At 38.9% G+C, this 22,508-nt stretch overlaps 1 protein-coding gene across 7 annotated transcripts, besides 1 other annotated feature; it reads right to left on the bottom strand.

Annotated features, from left to right (window-relative positions):
* Nucleotides 1,555-13,404, bottom strand: SERPINB13 (serpin family B member 13). Of its 7 annotated transcripts, NM_001348268.2 has the most exons (9): nucleotides 13,297-13,404; nucleotides 11,915-12,096; nucleotides 11,035-11,091; nucleotides 8,271-8,399; nucleotides 7,776-7,893; nucleotides 6,509-6,721; nucleotides 6,250-6,392; nucleotides 5,563-5,718; nucleotides 1,555-3,788 (listed from the first exon to the last, which is right to left on the bottom strand). In NM_001348268.2, exons 6-9 carry the CDS (start codon nucleotides 6,570-6,572, stop codon nucleotides 3,384-3,386), a joined length of 768 nt encoding a protein of 255 aa, NP_001335197.1. In that variant the 5' UTR covers nucleotides 6,573-6,721; nucleotides 7,776-7,893; nucleotides 8,271-8,399; nucleotides 11,035-11,091; nucleotides 11,915-12,096; nucleotides 13,297-13,404; the 3' UTR covers nucleotides 1,555-3,383. The 7 variants fall into 7 exon arrangements, with proteins under 7 accessions (NP_001335197.1, NP_001294852.1, NP_036529.1 ...); NM_001307923.2 differs by lacking the exon at nucleotides 6,509-6,721 and having other exon boundaries at nucleotides 11,005-11,091; NM_012397.4 differs by lacking the exon at nucleotides 6,509-6,721 and having other exon boundaries at nucleotides 11,032-11,091.
* Nucleotides 10,919-12,118: an enhancer, noted in NCBI's record as "BRD4-independent group 4 enhancer chr18:61255863-61257062 (GRCh37/hg19 assembly coordinates)". NCBI's record gives its function as "activates an origin of replication core promoter dependent on BRD2, P300/CBP, MED14 and CDK7 cofactors, and independent of BRD4, by STARR-seq in HCT116 cells {active_cell/tissue: HCT116}" and the evidence as "EXISTENCE:reporter gene assay evidence [ECO:0000049][PMID:35650434]".

The following is a 22,508-nucleotide window of genomic DNA, read 5'->3' as shown; positions in this document are numbered from 1 at the left end:
GAAAACCAAATACCACATGTTCTCACTTCTAACAGGGAGAAAGAATAGCTAATGGATGCTGGGCTCAGTGTCTAGGTTATAGAATGGTCTGTACGGTAAACCACCATGGCACATGCTTTACCTATGTAACAAACCTGCACATCCTGCACATGTATCCCTGAACTTAAAATAAAAGTTGAAGAAAAAAAAAAGGTTAATATCCAAAATATAAAAATAACAAACAATAACAAGAAAACAAAAAACCTAATTTTAAAAATGGGCAAGGAACGTGTATAGACATTTCTCAAAAGAAGACATACAAAATGGCCAACAGAGATAGTAAAAAATGCTCAACATGACTAATCATTAGGGAAATATGCTCAGATTTGATACCAAAGCCTGAACCTTAGAAGATATTAATGGGCTGGGTGCAGTGGCTCAAGCCTGCTATCCCAGCACTTTGGGAGGCCGAGGTGGGCGGATCATGAGGTCAGGAGATCGAGACCATCCTGGCCAACATGGTGAAACCCCGTCTATGCTAAAAAAAAAATACAAAAATACAAAAATTATCTGGGCTTGGTGGCACGTGCCTGTAATCCCAGCTACTCAGGAGGCTGAGGCAGGAGAATCACTTGAACCAAGGACTCAGAGGTTACAGTGAGCCAAGGTCGCGCCACTGTACTCCAGCCTGGCAACAGAGATTGACTCATCACAAAAAAAAAAAGAAAAAAAAAAAGAAATATTAATGATAAGCTGAACTCCAATCACCCTATGAAAGATCCCACAAAACTATTGAGATACTAATTCACATTCACTAGGATAGCAAAAATCTAAAAAGACTAGAATAAGTATAGCTACGATGTAGAGAATTGGAACCCTCATGCATTGCTGTGGTATTGTAATATGGTACGGCTGATTTGGAAAACAATTTAGTATTTCCTCAAAACGATAAACACAAAGGTACTAGTAATACATGACCCAGCAATTCCACTCCTAGGTATATACCCAAAAGAAATGAAGATATATATCCACACAAAAACTTGTTCCACACAAAATGTTCATAGTAACATTCATAAGAGCCAAAAAGTCAAATACAAATGTTTGTTAACTAATTAATGAATAAACAAAGTCTAACGTACCCATACAATGGAATGTTACTTAGCCAAAAATGGAATGAAGTATTGATTCATGCTACAAATTGAATGTAACTTAAAATTGTTAGGCAAAGTGAAAGAATCATGTTTCAAAAGGCCACATGTTATATGATGCCATTTATATGAAATGTCCAGAATGCGCAAGTTCACAGAGACAGACAACAGAATATTTATTTCTATGAGTTGGGGAAGAGAGGCATGGGGAGTGATTGTTAATGAGTATAGAATTTCTTTTGGGGTGTTATAAATGTTCTAAAATTAGACAGTGGAGGTGTCTACACAACTCTGTGAATACACTAAAACCAATGAATTGTACTTTAAATATGCAGATTTTATGGTATTAAATTATATCTTTTAAAAATTATTATATATGTTCTAAAAAGACTAATAACAAAATTAAAAGAAACCACAGACTATGAGGAAATGTCCACGTATCATATATTTGATAAATTAAGGACTTGTAAGCCAGAGATTATTAAGAACTCATTTAACTCAATAAAATGAGAAGACAAGACAGACAACCCAAATTAAAAATGAGCAAATGATTTGTATACATTTCACCAAACAAAGTCAAACAAATGGCCAATAAGCACATAAAAAAAGCTCAACCTAATTAGATATTATGGAAATGCAAATTAAAACCACCATGAGATGCCACTTTGTACCTACAAAAATGGCTATAATCATAAAGACACAATCCTGGATGTTGGTGAGGATTTGAAGACACTAGTTTTAAACATTCCTGGTGGGAATATAAAATGTCACGTTGGAAAACAGTTTGACTGTTTCTTACAAAGCTAACTATTGATTTTTCATATGGCCCAGCAATTTCTAGCCTAGGAATCTCCCCAACAGAAATGAAAACATATGTGAACACAAAGATCTTTATTTACATGTTCAGAGCAACATTATTCCTAACAGCCAAGAAGTGGGAACAATCCAAATGTCCCTCAACTGGTGAACCTAGAAATAAAATAGGTCTTTTCCATGCAATGGAATAGTATTCGGCAATAAAAAAATTAAGTATCAATACATACTACAACAGATGAACCTCAAGAACACCATGCTAAGTGCAAGACGCCAGACACAAAATACTACATGTATTATGATTCCATTTATATAAGATGTAGAAAGAAAAACTTATAAAGACAGAAAACAACTCAGTGGTGCCTAGGATTGGGAATATTAATAGACATGAGGAAACTTCTTAGGGTCATGGAAATATTCTAAAACTGGATTGTGGCGATGCATAACGCTAGAAATTTACTAAAAGTCAATGAATTATAAAATTACAGTGTGTACATTTTACGGCATGTAAATTGTAGTTTGACAAAGCTGTTAAAAATAAGCCAGTTATGTGATCTTGTTAAAAACTGGAGGAAAAAAATGAAACAAGCCAATAATTAAGAGCATTAGGTATAGATTCAGAGCTTTCCAAAAAGCATCTTCAGAAAATATCATTTGGTAATACTCGTACCTCACTCAAAAAAAAAAAAAAACCAGAAAAATGTAAATGGAGAAAAAAAGGGAAACTTTTCTAAAAGTTAGTCCAAATATTTACCTTACAAAGTCTAAAAAGGTGATAGAGGAGGAATACTGATCAACTACATCATTTATCTTCTCAAATACCACATTTATTACACAATATCAAAATGCTTATGCATCTAACAATGGATAATGTTAGAATGGAAGATGAAAATACGGGCATCCTCTCCATCTGGTATATTGTTTTATTTTGTCCTGGCATTTGAGTTTTAATTTATGTTTTGCTACTGTATTCCCAAATTCTCTTTCCTATGTGTGATTTGCCACAATATCTGTTGGGGAATAGTAACATGAGCTGAGTAAACTATTGTTTTATTTTACTTGCGTATTATAACATGTCAAAATACCAGAATTAGAGAGACCCCCCAAAATTACTAGTTCGTACTCTTTACTGGAGAGACTTTCTCTCCTTTCGTGTGCACAAAACTACAAGATACCAATTTACTTTCAAAGGAAACCAAAGGGAGATTATCAATGAGGTTTGGTTTGACTCACCTTACGCATGGCACAAAGAAAAGGACATTTCACTTTCGAGGATGGTTATAAACACACACATTATTGGAGTCATTAAATCATTGATTTGATGGCCAAGACTGGAAATGCAAGTGAGACAACATTTAAAAGAATGGACGATTTTCATAATCATATGAGTAACACTGGTAGTTGTTTTTTGCTAAAAGCAGCAATGCCATGGCAACGATCATCTTAAGGAGAAGAAAATCTGCCGAAGAAGAGGATGCTGTTGGATTCATTGTGCCTGATGAAGAACAGGAAGGGATGATTGCAGTGAACATTTTCATGACCTGGGGCGGATGTGACAGTAAAGCCTATGCCGGTGGCAGCTGCAGCCTCGGTGCCTTCCTCAGTTACTGCCACAAAGGAACTGTGCAGGAACTTCTGGGCGTACAACCCGGAGCCTGACGACATTCCCGAGTAGTCGGCTTTGTGCTCACTGAAGGCATCGCCCATCCCCATGGCAGCCAGGACCGCCTCTAGATCGTAACCGTCCTCCACCTCAAACCGGGGCAAGTGCAGATTCACCTTTCTTTCTTCCATATGCCCTGGACTAGTCCACTCTACCAATTTCTCAGGACTTATTTTATCTATTATCTATTTTCAAAAAAAGAAGAGTAGAATGGCATGATTATCAATAAAAATCTAAAACAGTGTAACACTGATTTGTGTCAGTCAGAAGTTATTAATTTTAGTAATATTAAAAGTAGAAATTTTATTTCACTAGATTGTTGTCTTTATACTGCAGGCGGTTGTCTTATATCTCTCTGTTTAAATTATCTGTGTATATGTGGAAATCCAATAGCATTGAATACATTTTTAAAGATTAAAAATAAGTCATTTCTTATTTTATCAACCTAGTATATATTTCATTTTAACTATCTCTCCTAGTCTTTGAATGCATATATATTTACATAGTTGCAATCACAGTGAATGTCCATTTTATTTGATAAAAAGTAAACTTTTTCACAATATTGCATATCTCTCCTATCTTCAAACAGCTAGATAATATTCTTATGAAGTTGATAAATTTTTCCCAATATTTAGCTATTCATTCACTTTACAAACATTTAGTCTTTATCAGGCATTGTGATAGATTTGATAGTTACTAAGGATACAAAATAATAATTACGATGAATTTCAAACTGGGCATTCCAGTGTATTTAATACCGAAATAACTGATTTTACTCAGAAAGGCAACTTTTTTCTTCTGCATTATTTCTTTAGAGTAATTCCCACAACTGGGGTTTTTGAATCAGAAATACTCTTAAAGCTCTCAGACATATTGCTATTTTGCTGTCTCAAAATATTTTCCAACTTAAAATGCTACTAGCAATATTTCACAGAAGTAGCACAGCATCTGGTAGTATAAGACGATAGCAGTTATCATTTGAGTGCTTTCTATGTCCTAGACCCCTTCTAGGCTACGTTTCTCTAATCATTCCAACACTGCTGCACGTTAACCACCATGGAGCCCTCTTCAGAGATGGGAAAGTATTGAAGTTCAAGGAAGTTAAGAAGCTTCAAGGGTCAGAAAGCCACTAGAGGAACAGGGATTTGAAACAAAACTCTCCTCATTTTCAAAATACAGGACACTAGCCACAATTTATTTATTTATTTATTTATTTATTTATTTATTTATTTATTTATTTAATTTTGAGACAGAGTCTCGTTCTGTCACCCAGGCGGAGTGCAGTGGCGCTATCTCGGCTCACTGCAAGCTCCACCTCCCAGGTTCACGCCATTCTCCTGTCTCAGCCTCCCGAGTAGCTGGGACTACAGGCGCCCACAACCACGCCAGGCTAATTTTTTGTATTTTTAGTAGAGACGGGGTTTCACCGTGTTAGCCAGGATGGTCTCGATCTCCTGACCTCGTGATCCGCCCGCCTCAGCCTCCTAAAGTGCTGGGATTACAGGCGTGAGCCACCACGCCCGGCCTTCACATAATTTTTTTAACCACAGAATGGATGAGACTAAATCAATGGTGTAAGAGTGTAAGAAAGAAATTCAAAAGCTCCAAAAGCCTATTGAACAGTGTGCAGAACTGGTTGTATATATGCATATGTGATTTCTTTTTTCCAGGAAAGGGGTCCATAGATACCAACCATTTCTCAGAATGGTGGGTGATCGTTAGGACTCCCATATAATCTTAAATGTTCATTTTAGTTCATCCCAAACATTCTAGGATTAGTTGTTCTCAATAAACCTGACCCATACTATTTAATGCTCCCCAGTAGACATCCATCTGTAGCTGCTGGAGAGTGAGAAACACTTTCTATTTGACACTGCTGGCCACCAGCTCCTACTCAGAAGCCCTGAGACAAAAAGCCTTAGGAAATGAAAGAAAGAATAAGGAGGTGTAAGCGTTTACCTTCTCCAGGCCATCGATGTCGTTGGGCAGAAGCACAAACATGCTTAGGTCGTTGTTTTTATATGGAATCCCTAGAATTTTGGCCTGCAAGTCCTCCAGGAAAGTGAAGCTAAAGGAATGGCTCTGTGTCATCATCTGTACAGATTTACTTGTGCTCTGCAACAAATTAACAGAGCACACAATATCAAAGGACATAAGACCAAAGGCATTAAGGCAACCAAGTTAGTTCATCAAAATAATTAGCTCAATCTAAAATAAAACCCAATATCAGAGTCTCAGAATGAGCATCCACTATCTACCAGTATGCATTTGCTCAAATATGACTTTAGATTTTTTTGGGGGGGTGGGGGATGGAGTCTCACTCTGTCACCAGGCTGGAGTGCAGTGGCATGATCTTGGCTCACTGCAACCTCTGCCTCCCGGGTTCAAGCAATTGTCCTGCCTCAGCCTCCCAAGTAGCTGGGACTACCGGCGTGCACCACCACACCCAGCTAATTTTTATGTTTTTAGTAGATACGGGGTTTCACCATGTTGGCAAGGATAGTCTCGATCCCTTGATCTCATGATCCACCCACCTTGGCCTCCCAAAGTGCTGGGATTACAGGTGTCAGCCACCACGCCCAGCCATGACTTTAGACTTTACATTCCATGTGTAAGCACATCACGAAAATAAACTAAGGGCCATACCTTATTCATCCAAAATTTCTCTTCCTTAGTATTTTCTTTCTTAAACTCCCTGTCCCATTGCCCTTTAAAATAAACCATGTTCACCAGCACCAGCTTGGTAGAGCTACTAATAGAGCCATCTGGGAACAAGTCCTTGATTTTTTCTGCAAATGAAGAAACAGAAAAAGGTTGACCCATCTTCCAAATGACAAATAATATGTATGACAAATATGATGCAGATGGACTTGACTGATCATTAAAAACCCAGCCAGGTCAGCACCTGAGGGCCTTGCTGACAAAGGGTTTGCTGGCAGAATCGACGGGGAGGTTCTCATTTTGCCCATCGCCTATTTATCCCAGTGGATAAATTAAGGTTCATGGTTAAGAGTCCAGACTCTGGGGTCAGATGCCTCTGTTAGCATCCAGTTTGCCTCTTATCAGCTGAGGAATCTTGGGCAAGTTATTTAAACTCTCTGTGCCTCAGTTTCCACATCTGTAAAATAGGAATAAAATCTGCCTCATAGGGTTGTTGAAAGGAACAAATGATTTAACACATGTAAAGCTATTAGAATACCATCTCACACATAATAAGCACTCTGTGTTAGCTATTATGCTTACCATTCAATATAGTTACCACCTGAGATTAAGGGATTACTTATTATATTGGAGAAGGAGTTGATATTTTTGTCTCTGAGTTCACCCCATCCCACAATAAATTCTAAAAAATACTGTTCAACTTTTTGAAAGATCCTATTTTTTCTGTTTCTTTTATTTCCTTTCTTCAGACCAAGCATGAGGGGAAAAAAAAAACACATTCTGAATAACAAAGTTCTCTCTGATAATTGGTATAAAAATGGAATCTGAAACTCTAACACTAAAGTATCAGCTATTGCTCCCCAAGGTGAATTTCCACATTAACATTTCTCTGTGGATTTCCCATACCAGGGGATGAGAAAGGAATAATGGGATAAGAAACTTGTCAAATCCTCTGCTGTGGGGAGAGCTGTAGGTTGTCGTTACCCCTGCACTATGCTTAAGTGAAGATGAAGACTAGGTGGCCCCAGCTGTGGATGGGAACGACAAGTCTTGATGGGAGAGCTGCGTGTTTCTCATTTAACACAGACAGAGAAAAACTCAGGAAGAAAGGCTCTGATATAAAGGAAAGAATGTAAACCCAAGACAGGCATCATCCTATTTTCAGGACCCCCAAGATATTGTGATCCATGGCTATGTGTAAACAGTTCTCCAGCAAGCGTTTCCGTGCATTTGGCTTCATGCAGTCCCCTCACTGGCTCCCCTTGGCCGCTCCACATTTGCTGAAATTGCTCCACCATCTGCAGTGCCTTCCCTACCTCCTAGGCCTGGGCTTGCCCTTCCAACCCTGCAAAACCTATCTCAAGTCCCTTCCCAAAGCTTGTGCACTGCATGGCACCCCACGCAGTGACAAGTCCAGGGCTTCATTCACAGCAGGTTGTCAAGAAGTGTTTTTTGTTTGTTTGTTTCTTTGTTTTTGTTTTTTTGCAATGAATGACCCACCCATACTCTACCATTTGTTTTGCTTTCAACCCAGGAATTAATCTTCTTTCGACTTTCATCGGCTGCATTTACAAAATCAACAGGTTCCAGAGATGCATGATAATATTTTTCAACATAATCTAAGTATTTCTTTAGGAGAAACAAGGAAGGAATAAAAAGAGGTTAAAAACTCAATTTATCAATTGCCAACATCTCTAAATAAATTTATGTATACATTAGGATGACTAATACAGTAAGAGAAATTTTAAGGCCCTGGGCATCTCACATTGAGTTCCTGCTGCACATTTTTATGCAGCTATTCTGGGGATGAGGCAAAAATCAGGTTCAGATTGCCAGGACTAAAAAGGAACTCCCTGCAGTTCTGAATATCTGTAGATCAGGATGGAAAAGCACCACAGGGATGTGGCCAGAGCCAGGCAGCACGACTTCAGGACCCATAGTCCTACCAGGGCCATTTGGCCATTCCAGAATACCACTCACAGATATGGTAGGCATGGCAAACTTACTTGAAGGAAGAGGTATGTTTTTTCTCCAAACAGCCTGTTGGTTATGTTCAGTTCATAATCATTAGTGAGTTTGCTTATTTCAGTCAAAAACTTTTGGAATTGTTGATGTACTGCTTCTGTGTTCTCAATCTTGAAAATTAAAACAAAATCTCAACAGGTTATCTTGGCAAAAGCAAGCCCAGATTCTCCCCTAAGAGGATGCGGCTGCTGGGTCTCTCCCTCCGTTTGTCAGCCTCAAGGGTGATCCCTGTGTTTGATGTGGCCCCTGGATATCAGGTAGCCTTTACCCAAGTCATATGATAATGTCAGTTATGACCAATCTCAGCTCCAGAGAGAAGCCTTCTCTGCCAGCCCAACACCACAGATCTTGCATTTATAACTCAAGTTGTGGGCTTTTTTGGTCTCAAATAAAAGTGCTCACTAAATGTTCAATAAGCTTGTTTTTAGCTCCCCACAAGATTCTAAGCATCTAAGGAAAGTAAGTGATTTCTCCGGACGATTCTTATCTATTGAAGTTTGGAAATTTTTCCAGATAGTGAATAAGAAGAGTGACTCCTAATGGTATGAGTCACTACACATTGGGCTGAAGTGAGATTTATCCTTGTCTCCAGGGGAAAAAAAAAATTTTCTGAATATTTTATGTAGGACCCATCAGTTTTCTGATTGAAGTTTTCATATTCTATGTTACCTTAACGACATATCTAGAATGTCATTATTTCAACATATAAATACAATAAATATTAATTACATATTAATATATAAGATACATATTTCAGCAAAAATAATACATGAAAATTAATATTTTGTATTCCTTTCTCATACTAAGTTCTTAAAATATAATATGCATTTTATACCTATAGCACATCTGGATTCAAACTAGATGTATTGCAAGTGTTCAATAGCCACTTGAGTAGCTACTATACTGGATAGCTTGGGACTGGATAAACTCTCACCCAGGCAAATTAGGAGGCTGGCATTAAAAAGGCCATTTTTGCATTGTTTGTAGAAGGAAGGAAGGAAGGAAAGAAAAAAGGAAGGAAGGAGGGAAGGAAGGAAGGAAGGAAGGAAAGAAAAAAGGAAGGAAGGAGGGAAGGAAGGAAGGAAGGAAGGCCGGCCCCATCAACAAAATAAATGAGGAAATAGCTATAAAAATGAATCAAATAGAGCTATAAGTATCCCCTTAAAATAGATGAATCTTATAAACATGATGCTAAGCCAAAAATAATCAAGTTCCAAAGAAGAATGACAAAAATATATGGCATGTAATGAAATAATAAATACGTGGGAATAATGAACACCTAATCCACAATAGTGGGACTTCCTCTCTGAGGAGAGGATGGGGGCGTGCTCAAGGAAGGTGTTATACATCAGCCTAAGGGGCATCAGCTGATTTGGTAATAGTTTATTTTGTACACTTAAAGGAGGGGTTAAAGTGTGTTTATTGCATTTTTCCTTATACCTTTTGTACATATGTCTTGAGATTTTATCAGCATTTTTTAAAAGCAAGATTCAAAATACTCTGAATTTACATAATAATCAAACGGGTACATGCCAAGCCAGTCTCTGGGCAAACTATTAAATGAGGAGATTGGAGTAGATGACCTCTAAGATGTATTCCAGTGCTAATATCCTTTCAGTCAGTAATTCTATTCTCTTCATACCCCTGTGGCTCCCAGGAAAATTCTGGGGAATGGGCAAAACTGCTAGACAGCATGTATGTGTAAGCTTTGCCTTACACAAAGCTGAAATTCAGTTTCCACCCCAGTCATCTAGCCCTTCACATAGGAGTAGGGCAGCTATCCAAAAGAATGAGCTGTTTTCTAATTTGCACAAAGGTTCTACATGGGCTATCATGGCTGAGAAAGAATGTGCTCTGAAGACAACTGCACTTCTCAGTTGAGGGAACATTGCAGTGGCCATATGACCCAACTTGGTTGCGCAAACCCTGAAAGGAAGCCTGACCCTCCACAGGAGCAACTGAGCCACCCACACGACCTAGCCTTTTGGGGTTGTGAAATGAGCAGCTCCTATTGCTGGGTGATCTGAGCCATGGTTTTATGAGGGTCTGGAATTGCACTATGACTACTGTCAGAGCAGCTGTGCCCTTCCTGAGAGTGCTAACGTCTGATCCTAGCCCCGACCTAATGGGCTTATTCCTTTCCCATATTTGAGTAGACTCTCCTTTGGATGGCGAATACAGGAACACTGGAGCTGGAAAAGACCTCAGGAAGTCATTGGGCCTGTAATAATTTTTTAAATACAACATCAGCACGGGGTTAAAAATATGAGTGGAGTTTAGCAATAATATCACCTACTGCTACTACCACCACCACCACTGGCTCAGTTGCCAGATGCCCCTACTGCGGACTTTACAGAGGCTGAAAGAAGATAAATAACTTGCCCAAAGTAGCATCGCTCTTAAGTGACTGAGCCAGGACTTGGACCTAAGTCTGTTTAACTCCAAAACCCATCCACTCTGCTATGGGAACTTTTCTGTCTATTAGCCTTTACCAGTTCTATCATAGCGGTATTGTCCATTACACCTAAGGTCTCTTCTCAATATTAAGGGGTTATTATTATTGTATAATCCTTACAACAATATTTGTCTATGGTGATTATTATTGCTTAATAGTAAAGCAACAATATTGCTTTCATGCCTTTCTCAGTCCTTTTCCCCAGAGACCCCACACCTAAAATGCAACTCTACTGAAGTTTGTAAAACACATCTCCCCACCTCTTTTCCTTCAGCCTTTATTCTTACCACCTCTTTTTCTTCAGCCTTTATTCTTGAGCTCTTCGTCTCTTTTTCAGAGTGAAACACCTGGAAGAGATAGAAAATATTACTGTGGTGCTCAGAGAAGAGAAAACCTCACACAGAATCAGTCAGGGGAGAGTGGACGCTTCTGAAAGAAACCTCGGTGGTATATGAGGTGACATTATCTCCTTGCAAAATCAGAAAAAGGTCTGCGTTTACCTCTGATTTTTCGTGTGTGTGTGTGTGTGTGTGTGTGTGTGTGTGTGTGTGATGGAGTTTTGCTCTTTTGGCCAGGTTGGAGTGAAGTGGCATGATCTTGGCTCACTGAAACCTCTGTTCCTGGATTCAAGCGATTCTTCTGCCTCAGCCTTCCGAGTAGCTGGGATTATAAGCACCTGCCACCACACCCAGCTAAGCTCATGCCTGTAATCCCAGCACTTTGGGAGGCCAAGGCGTGTGGATCACCTGAGGTCAGGAGTTCAAGACTAGCCTGGCCAACATGGTGAATCCCCTTCTTTACTAAAAATACCTCTAATTTTTTTCTAAGGAACTCGTATTGGCTTATGTGTTCCTGTGTTCATCTTGGATGTGTCATTTTTACCCTTGTGGGGATTATGTCACTTTTTCCATAAGTACTTGGACAAGGTTACGCAACCAGTCTCTACTCAAAAAAATTTCAAGCATCTGGGAGCAGGTGGCGAGATGGTATTTGGAAAAGGAAGAGGGCTTTCCTGATAGACCTGAAATTGCTCCTTGTCTTGAAAGTCTCTGTTTCCTGGTCCACAGGTCAAGAAGAGCGTATTTTTAAGATAATGCAAGAGGGCTGACAACCCCCCCGCCAAATGAATTTGTGCATAGGAAACAAGGAAGCCCCCTGACTGCGCCCAACCTCCTCCAACTGGGAAGCGGTGGCTCCTCGGGTCCCCAGGAGGACCATGCCAATTGCAGTCAAGATGCCCACAGGGGAAAAGAAGATGTTGCCATCATTTGTTTTCTTCAGCTCTTTGAAAAGATCAAACCCAAGTCGAGTGCTGACGGCGCCAAGTGAATCCATGATGATTTTAGCGAGACCTAGAATAGCAAGAACAACAATCAAAACTGAACATTTGAATTACTCTGTGTCAGGGGAATCCTTTCTGCTTCTATTCCTCTTCTTGCATCGATCCGGAATACAGGGATTTCCACCCTTTTGGTGAAAGGTCGCTGCTGCCTGCTTCTCACGTCCTCTCTTGGCCTTCTCTTGCTGGGAGACATCCATCAATCTACTGGAGTCTTCCGTCATCCGGTGGTGCTCAGTTCTTATTTCCCCGCGGAGCAGGGTTAATGTTTTAATGGCTTTATTCTCTTGCTCTCTGTCTGACCCTGCCTGTCTCTGCCTCTCCACAGCCTCCTCTTCATGGAAGCTTCCCCAGGTAGACCCAGCCCTTGTCCAGGCGACACCAGTTTGTCCAGATGTGGGGCCCATGATAAGGCAGGGGGGTAGGCACAAGAATCTCCACGGGCCTCAAGTTCAAACAGTGCTCTCAGATCCAACCTTAGCAATAATTAAGCCGAGACTTGAATCCTTATCTGATACTATTTCTCAATTGATTCAAAATTCAGCCCAGAGAGTGACAGGATTGATTAAATCTCTTAAACCCCTTTCCCTAACTGCATACAAACTTGACTCTGGGCTGAATTTTTCTGAAGCAGAAACCACATATCTCTGGTCATGAATTATTAGGTGGAGATGAAAGGGTTTTCTTTTTTATACTTTTCTGTATTGTTTTAGGCTTGTACATGAGCTTGCATTACTTTTGTCATTTCACAAAAATAGTTTTTAAAGAGCAATTAATATTTGCCAAAAATAAATAGGTAGAACTGTTTTTATGTTTGCTTCATTACCAACTACTTTAAAACTAGTAAGTAAAGGCTTTAGGAGGAATCCTAAAACAAGAATAAGATTAATGAAAAATAAAGTTTTTTAAAGCCCACATACTTTGGGGCCTTTTGCCCTCAAGGGCTCATCCCCGCTAAGGCATCCCACATCTGATATCAAAGCTTTCATTTCAACCTCAGGTTTCCTTGCAGAGATCCTTTACAGGTTAACTCAGAAATAAAATGGATTAATTTACTGTCAAAGAAGATACATTGTCATGGCCATGTTGGAACTGAATTAAATAAAACTACCTCCAGAAAGTCTATGCAAAATAAAAGTAATTCTTTCAAACAACAAACATCATTGTTCTCAAAATACAGAGGTCTTAAATTGGAGCCAAAATAAGAACTTACCTCGGGTTTTTGGAGAGACGGTGGTGGCTGGGCAACGAACTAGGAAGCATAAGTCAATTAAGTAGCTGGGATCCTTAATTTATAGTTCTCCACATCTGCTTCAGCAGTGGTTTTCCACCTTGCGTGCACCTTAAAATCTCCTTGGAACTTTAAAAAAAATCTATGCCCAAGCCCCACCCCAGACCAACTGAGTCAGCATCTCTCGAGTGGAAACCAGGCATCAGAATTTTTATCACCGCAGGTGATTACAATGTACAGCCAACGCTGGGAACCAAAGGTGTATAGCCTGATGAACACATACATTAAATGCATACTTTACTTACCACAGATGGACAGAGCTGTGTCCTGACAAGTCATTCTCTGTAACAGAGTTATTTTTGCATTTGCATTATTTAGGAGTGCCAAATGCCAGGAAGAAAATGAAAGAAAACTATCTTGCTACAAAGGAACAAGAAAAAAGAACAAGAAAAGTTTGGGTAGGCAGCCACACACAAGCGAGCATGCGCACACACACACACGCACACACACATACACACACACACCTATTATTCTCAAGTATTCCATCCATTAATTGTAAAATATCTCATTTTAATTCATTCAATAAACATTTATCAAGTCTATTATGTACCAGGTACTGTGTCTAATGCCAATAATTCATAAGCACTCAATATCCTCACTGATTTCAGGAAAACAACACTACCAAAAAAACTCAATAGGAAATTACACCCCCAGATTCCAGTTTTTCCTGCCAACCCTGGAGCATTTCTACTGGCCCTACCAGTTCATTAAAAGAAACTGTGCTTGGATTAGTCTTAGCTTTAATCTTCAGTAAAGGGCGTGGAGATTTGCCATCGTTGCTGGGCAGCAGCTCCTAGAAGGGTGTCTTAGCTCTTCCTTCTGCCTAGAGGAACACCTCCCTAGATACGCAGGCTCGAAGGGCATATGGGTCATGTGTGTTCCAATCTCCATACTCACAATTTACTTTTTTCAAAATATTTTGATTGCTGCTCTTTAAGCAAACTCAAAGCCACATTTAGTTGATTTGCTTTTTAATAGGCACTGAGAATCTTGCAAATTGAGTAAGGTTTAGAAAGAATTAACACTTAGTGAACCCTGGATGCCAGTGAAATGGAAATGTTAGTTTTTTAAAATGGCATAAAATCTCTGAGTCGGCCATAATGCTTTATGTTTTAATATCCCTATCCATTTATATCTTCTTATTTCTTTCTCTGTGGCCCCTAGACTTCCTGTTCTATTGCCCAGCCATTTCCACAGGCCTTCTGCTTTTTGCTAAAGCTTTTGCTCTACCACCTGCTTTCACCGGGAAACCTGGCATGTCCTGAGGACTACTACATCCCATAGTCTTTTCTGGGAACGGCCACTCATATCTTGGGAAAGCAAAGTCACCATTCCTATTCTCCCTCGCACTCCCTCTTCTTCCAAGTCTTTCTTCCTTCAGTCACCTTCAATGCTCCCCTTTGGAAACTTAGACCATCACGCTGTGCTGCTCTGTCCCCAACCACAGGTCCCTCCGTGACTCTGCATATGGTCTTCCTGTCCACCCCAGCTGCTACCGCCACCCTGTACCACTTCACCATTCCTGTTGCCAGCGCCTCTCACTTCTCGGACCTTCACCTTCCCTCTTTTATAGTGGCCCACTCACACCAGGAACTGCTCTTGTTTAACACTCAAGCACCTCCATCTGGTGACAGATTCTCATCCTTATTCTCTCTAAACCTAATTTTCAACGCCTTCCCAACCTCTTATCACAGGACTCCTCCCTGTTCTGTTTTATCCATCTCTTCTTTCTAGGATCAAAACTGCCCCAGAGGTGGAATATATGTTGATGATTAAGAACCATTTAAAAAATGATTTCTATGCTAACAAGTGAGGAGAAGAAAGTTATCCCCTGAAGCAGAGTATTGATAGGTTCCCAACCCTGTTCCATAGCTCATAGTTTTGTTCCAACTTCTGTGTGTCTGTTACTGATACTGACTTGTAATATTTTTCTTCTCCAAGCATGTAATCTCGTAGTGGATGCTGCCGATGTTCCCACCAGATTTCCTTAACCTACCAGCATGCCTGTTACCCAGTTGTTGTTTTCCCTTATAATTCACAGATGCCCTTTTCTCGGCTAAAAGAGAGCTGCCTACGGGGGAAGCCAGGTACCACTCCATCCCCCGTGCCAGGGCACACCTCAGGCATGACTCACTGGCATAAGGGCATAAAAAGACAGCCCCTGGCTGGGCGCGGTGGCTCACGTTTGTAATCCCAGCACTTAAGGAGGCAAGGCGGGTGGATCACCTAAGGTCAAGAGTTCAAGACCAGCCTGACCAACATGGTGAAACCCTGTCTCTACTGAAAATACAAAAATTAGCCGGGCGTGGTGGCACATGTCTGTAATCCCAGTTACTCAGGAGGGTGGGGCAAGAGAATCGCTGGAACCCAGGAGGTGGGGTTTGGAGTGAGCTGAGATCACGCCATTGCACTCCAGCCTGGGCAGCAAGAGCGAAACTCCACCTCAAAAAAAAAAAAAAAAGAAAAAGAAAAAAAAAGACAGCTGCCTGAGTAAGACTAACTTTATAGTGCCACTTCTCCTCCAGACCTCCCCCACAAGATTAGACTGAAGCCAGTCTTTAGCAGAAACCACATGATTAACATTTCCCCTTGCCTTGTTCTGCTTCTTTCAAACAAGCATGCTCCCCATCACGCTTTTCCCAAAAATTACCTGAAAAATCCCTGTCTTTAGCTCTGCTTCTAGGGTGCCTCACCTATGACAAAAGTGTTGTGATATCTAGCCCAAGCCCTCATTATTTTTGCTTTCCAAAAATTTATTTGCAACCTTGCATATATTCTCTTTAGATAAAATTTTTAATTAGTTTATCAAGACCTATGAAAAACACTTTTGGGGTTTAGATCGGGACTCTTTAGAATTAATATGTTAAATGGGAAAATTTTTCATCTTTACATAATGAGCAAGCGGTATGATCATCTTACATGTCCTTCAATAGTTAATAGAAAGAAATCACGGGGAGAGAGACAAAGGAGAGAGAGAACCAGTTTTCTCTTTGTGATGAAAAACAAAACAAGCATGTTCACCGCCGCTGCTTCCACTCAAAATTGAACCAGAGACCCTGACAAGTGCAATAAAGCAATTAATTAACTGATGAATTAGATAATTATTTAAAAGGTAAGATAATTTAAAAAGAAAAATAGAATCATTCACAGAGGAATTGAGGTAAATGTTATGAGAATTAAAAAGTGAGTTTAGCAAGATTGCTGACTACAAGGTCAATATAAAAACTCAAGTGTTTTTAATATACTAGCAACACACAGTTAGAAACATTTTTAATATATTATTTAAAAGAGTATAAAAAAGCTATGTGAGGCTGGGCATGGTGGCTCATACCTGTAATCCAGCACTTTGGGAGGCCGAGGCTGGCAGATCAGCTGGGTTCAGGAGTTAGAGACCAGTCTGGCCAACATAGCAAAACCCCGTCTCTACTGAAAATACAAAAATTAGCTGGACGTGATGGCATGCACCTGTAATCCCAGCTACTCGGGAGGCTGAGGCAGGAGAATTGCATGAACCAAAGAAGTGGAGGTTGCAGTGAGCCGAGATAGCACCACTGCACTCCAGCCAGGGCGACAGAGCCAGACTCCATCTCAAAAATAATAATAATAATAAGGTATGTGAGGTAATACTATGTTAATTAGCTAGATTTGGTCATTATGCAATGTTCTATACTTCAAAACACCTTGTATGTGATAAATACATATAATTTTATGTCAATTGTTTTAAGATAATGAAAAAAGCATCACGTAACTAGTAAATATGAAAGATGTTTAAGACTCCATATAGAAAAAGATTAAACATAATTTAGAGAAATTAAGAAGACTGAGTAAATAGAGGGGTATATTTTATTTGTGATTTAAAAGACTCAATATTGTAAGGATGTCAATTTTCTCAAAATTAATCACTGCAATCTCAATCAAAATCTCAGGAAGCTCATTTTTTCAAAAAATTGGCCAGCTGATTCCAAATTTATATGAAATAGCCAAGGGCTAACAACAGCCATGACACTGTTGAAAGAGAAGGAGGAAGAGATAATACCTGCTCTGTCAGATAGCAAGGTTTATTATTAATTGTCAGAATGGTTTTTGGCAAAGGATAGATCAGAACAGAAGCCCAGAAAAATACTGATGCTCGTGTGCACCTTGATTTTGTTCAAGCTTGTTGCAGAGCAGTGGAGAAAGAATGGTCTCTTCAATAAATTATGTTCAGTTCATTGGATAATTACATGGGGGAGAAAGGAATCTTAACTACTACGTCACACCATATACAGATTTCCATTCTAAATGGATCACAGAGCTAATTGAAACACAAAAAAGCATTTACAGTAAGAGTAAAAATTAACAAACTGGACAACACAAAATTTAAAAGCTTTTATTAATCAAAAAACACTATCAAAGTTGGAGATACATATATATCCAAAGTTGGATATATATAGATACACCCCATGACCTAATAATTTCACCCCAGATATTTACCCAATATAAATGTGTGCTCATGGGCACCAAGAGACATGTGCCCATAGCAGCATTCATAATAGCCAAGTACTGGAAACCCAAATGTACATTAACAGCATAACACGTAAATAATGGTATGTTCACACAGTGAAATCCTACACAGCAATGACAATGAATGAACTAAAGCTACAGGCAAAAAAAAAAAAAAAAAAAAAAGATAAATATCTCAAACAATATTTTGAACAAAAGAAGCCAAATGTAAAAGAACGCATACTGTATGATTCTTTTTATACAAAGTACAAAAGCAGACAAAACTAAACTTCAGTTTACCCCTAAACAACACGGGGTTAGCGATGCCAACCCCCCTCACAGTTGAAAATCCAGGTATAATTTTTTATTTTTATAATTTTCTTTTTAGAGATGGGGTCTCACTATGTTGTCCAGGTTAGATTCTGGATTTGGGCACCTGGCTTCCAGCAATCCTTCCATCTCAGCTTCCTGAATAGCTGGGACTACGTGCATGCATCACCGTGCCCAGCTTGTGTGTGTGTGTGTGTGTGTGTGTGTGTGTGTGTGTATTTACCCTTCACAATAATATTTTAACACAGCTATTAAATATTTGTCCTTGATTACAAGAATACATGTTCATGATATATAAAACTTGTAGAAAACAAAGGAAGCATGAAGAGGGCAAAAAAATCACCCCTGGTTTACAATCAAAGACAAAGATTACCAACGTATAATTTTTCACTCCACAAAAACTTAACTACCGATAGCCTACTGTTGAACAGAAAACTTACCAATAGCATAGTCTATTAAATCATATTTTGTGTGTTCTATGTATTACATACCATATTCTTACAATAAAGTAAGCTAGAGAAAAGGTAATGTTATTAAGAAAATAAAAAAAGAGAAAATATATTTACTATTCATTAAGTGGAAGTGGATCATCAATAAAGTCCATTCCCGTCATCTTCACATTGAGTAGCTGAGGCGGAGGAGAAAGAGGAGCGGTTGGCCTGGCTGTTTCAAGAGTGGCAGAGGCAGAAGAGGTGGAGAAGGCAGAATGGGAGGCAGCAGATGCATAGACTTGGTGCAACTTTATAGAAATACATCATCATTTCTGACTTTTTTTTTCTTTTTCATTTCTCTAAAGATGTTTCCACGTGGTACAAATCCTGCTTCCATAATTTGCTTTAGCTTCAGTGCCTGTGTTGTCAAAGGGTCCATGTCAAAAAAGAATTTAAAAGCAACCTTGAGTACTCACAAACTTTCTGCCAGATTGTCTAATGTCAATTTGTTTTCTGGCACTGCTTCTTTTATGTCTTCTTTCTCACCATCTGGAGCTGGTTCAGAAGCACTCATCACCATAAAATTGTCTTCTGTTAATTCCTGTAGTGTGGAATCTATTTACTCTTGAATTTCCCCAAGATCCATATCTTGAAATCCTTCATCCCCTACCTTTTGTGTGTGTGTGTGCCGTATCCACAATCTTTTTCGTCGTTTCCTTGATTGGTTCTGTCGTAAATCCCTTGAAGTCATGCACAACATCTGTCTTTTGTTTTTTGTTTGTTTGTTTGTTCGTTTGCTTGTTTGTTTCTTCCTTTTTATGGAGAACGGGGTCTCGCTATATTGCCCAGGCAGGTCTCGAACTCCTGGGCTCAAGCTATCCTCCTGCCTCTTGCCTCCCTGAGAGCTGGGATTACAGGCGTGAGCCACTGCTCCCGGCCCATGCACAACATCTGGATGCAGTTTTCTCTAGCAGGAATTTATTGTTTCAGGCTTGACAGCTGTCATGGCTTTTTCTATAACAATGATGGCATCTTCAGTGGTATAATCCTTCCACATTTCCAGAGTGTTCTTTCTACTGGGGTTCTCTTCTACAGCGTTGGCAATACTTTCCATGGAGTACTGTGTGTAATCATTTAGAGGCTGAATTAGAGATACTGTGTTTCATGGCAAGGGGACAACTTCGACGTCTTCGATGTTAAACTAATGGGGTTCTAGGTGACCAGGGGCATTGTTCAATAGCAAAAGAATTTTAAAAGTCAGTCCCTTTCTGGCAAAGCACTTCCTGATTTCAGGGACAAAGCACTGATGAATCAATCCAGAAAAAGAATTCTCATATTCCAGGCCTTCTTTTTGTACAACCGAAAGACTGGCAGCTGGTATTTGTCTTTTCCCTTCAAGTGTTGGGGGTTAGTGCTATCTTATAAACCCAACTGTATTTGTACAAAACAGTAGCATTAGCTTATCCCTTCCTGCCTTAAGCACTGATGCCTGCTTCTCTTTCTTACTAATACATGTCATTTACGGCCTTTTTTTCCAGAATAGGGCACTTAGATATGCTTCAAAAACATGGTCAAGTAGATATCCTTTCTCCTCAATTATTTTCTTATGGCAACTGGGAATTTGCTGCCTGTTGGTCATAAAAAATGTTATCTTGATATTTTTAAGCCAAATCTTTTTCTGAAATAATCAAATCATCCTTTACTGACATTAAATTATCCAGCTTTAGATCCTGCACCTTCCTCTTGCTTTAAGTTGTCATACAATGACTTCGGTTTTTCTCTAATCATATTAGAGTCTATAGGTGTGCCTTTCTTATAGTAATTCTGCCCCCATATAAAAGCTGCATTTTCAATATAAAATGAAAACGTGTTTCTCAAAAAGTGTAAAGTTTTCATATCTGCTGGTGTAGCTGCAAAGACAGCTTTACGCATTTCCTTTTCTTTTTTTTACAATGGTCCTGATACTGGGTTCATTTATCTTGAAACGGTGGGAAAATGCAACTGCAGACCTCAATCTATGGTAGATATCAAGGAATTCAACTTTTTCTTATAATGTTATTGCTTTTCTCTGTTTCTTGGGCACACTTTCAGCATCACTGGTGGCACTTCATACAGGTCCCATGATGTTATTCAAGCTGTATGGTATTGCACTAAACATGATGAAAAATACACAAGAACTGTGAGAGATCACTTTTTATTGTCATACACAACTTACTGGACAGATGAGCTGCTCAGGCAGAGATCATTGTCCTCACACTGTGCTTCAAACAGATACTTGCAACACTTGAGCTCACTGTAATAGCAATAGGAGTTGGCTACGAAATTATTACAGTAATACACTATGTACTACAGCTAATTTATGCAATTATGACTTAACATTGCATCTTTACTTTTGTTCTTGTTTCTTTTAACTGCAAGTAGCACCAAGTATGACTATCTGTAAGTGTTCGTGTGCACAAGTTTTGATACATTTTAATTTTTTATAATAGATTTGTACATATGTTATGGGAGTAAATGATAAAATAGGCTAGTACCTACATATACTTTATGCCTTCGTTACATACCTAACTTTTTCTTAATATTTTTGGTATTTCTAGACTGTACAGCAATTTGAAAAATCTGTGATTTGAAAAACCTGCAAGTTTTTTCAAATTGTCCCAAATCTCCAAAATATTTTCCAGTATATTTTTTGAGAAAACTCTGAGTACAAGCGGATCCATGCAGCTCAAACCCGTGTTGCTTGAGGGTCAACTGTATAGTGCTGCAAGTTAGCATATTTGTTACATATTGAAGAGGAGGTAGAAAGTAATAATTAAAAAGGGATGTAGGGGGAATTTTAGAGCAATGGTAATGTTCTATTTTTTTAATCTGGGTGGTGGCTCCATGGTTGCTCACTTTGTGATAATTTATTGAGCTATATGTATACATTTTAATGTTTCCATATTTGTGTTATTCATCACAAGAAAAATAAATTTGTTCAATTTATTTATAGATATTTTATCATTTTGATATTCTTGTGAATACAGTCTTTGGGTTTTCCATTCATTCATTCAGTCAGTCAATCAACAAGTATTTCCTGAGCATCCACTATTTGCCAGATATTGCTTTAGGTACTGAGGTAAAGCAATGAATAAGATGTAGATGTAAAAGGTCCAGTCTCTCATTAAATTCACATTCTTTGGGGGTGATACAAACAATAAATAAACAAAAACAAGATAATCTCAAATAAAATTAAGTGCTATGAATTGAATAAGGCGTTGTGTTGGTGAATAGTTATTACTGGTGTATAAGAAAAAAAAATTTGGATATCTAGCAAACCATCTTGAAGAACATTCTTTATGGTAAATTATAAGCTTATTCGCTTAGATTTTCTAGAAAGATGACCATAAAACCTCTGCATAATGGTTTGGCCTCTTTTTACCAATATTTATTCCCCTGATGGAACTATTCTTCAGTATAATGGAGGACACCTACTTTCAAATCTCTCTGCACAAAACTCAGATGAACAAGCATAGCAGTAAGACACCATTTTAAAACTGCACTTCACTGTACCGACAGAAGAGGGCACTCTTTCACCAAGAAAACAGAGTATGGCCCCCGACTCACCTTCATAAAGTTGCCTGTCCTTTTCAGTCCAAAAATCCTGCACATTTCAGTATGAACAAGAAAAAGTACCAAACAAATATGTAAAATTACTATACAAAGAAAACGGTGAAAATTAAAACTTTTAGCCATGGAGATACTACCCAAGAAATCAATCATGAGGGAGAATAAAGCTGTAGTGTAACACTAGCTTATGAACTAAATATTGTTTGGAAAGAGATTGCGAATATGAAGAATGCTTCAAGTCATAATTTAAAAAACTCAGAATATATATGAATAACAAAATAA

This window comes from Homo sapiens, chromosome 18 (assembly GCF_000001405.40).
Source record: "Homo sapiens chromosome 18, GRCh38.p14 Primary Assembly".
Taxonomy (NCBI): Eukaryota; Metazoa; Chordata; class Mammalia; order Primates; family Hominidae; genus Homo; species Homo sapiens.
This window is presented reverse-complemented; position numbering and strand designations above follow the sequence as displayed.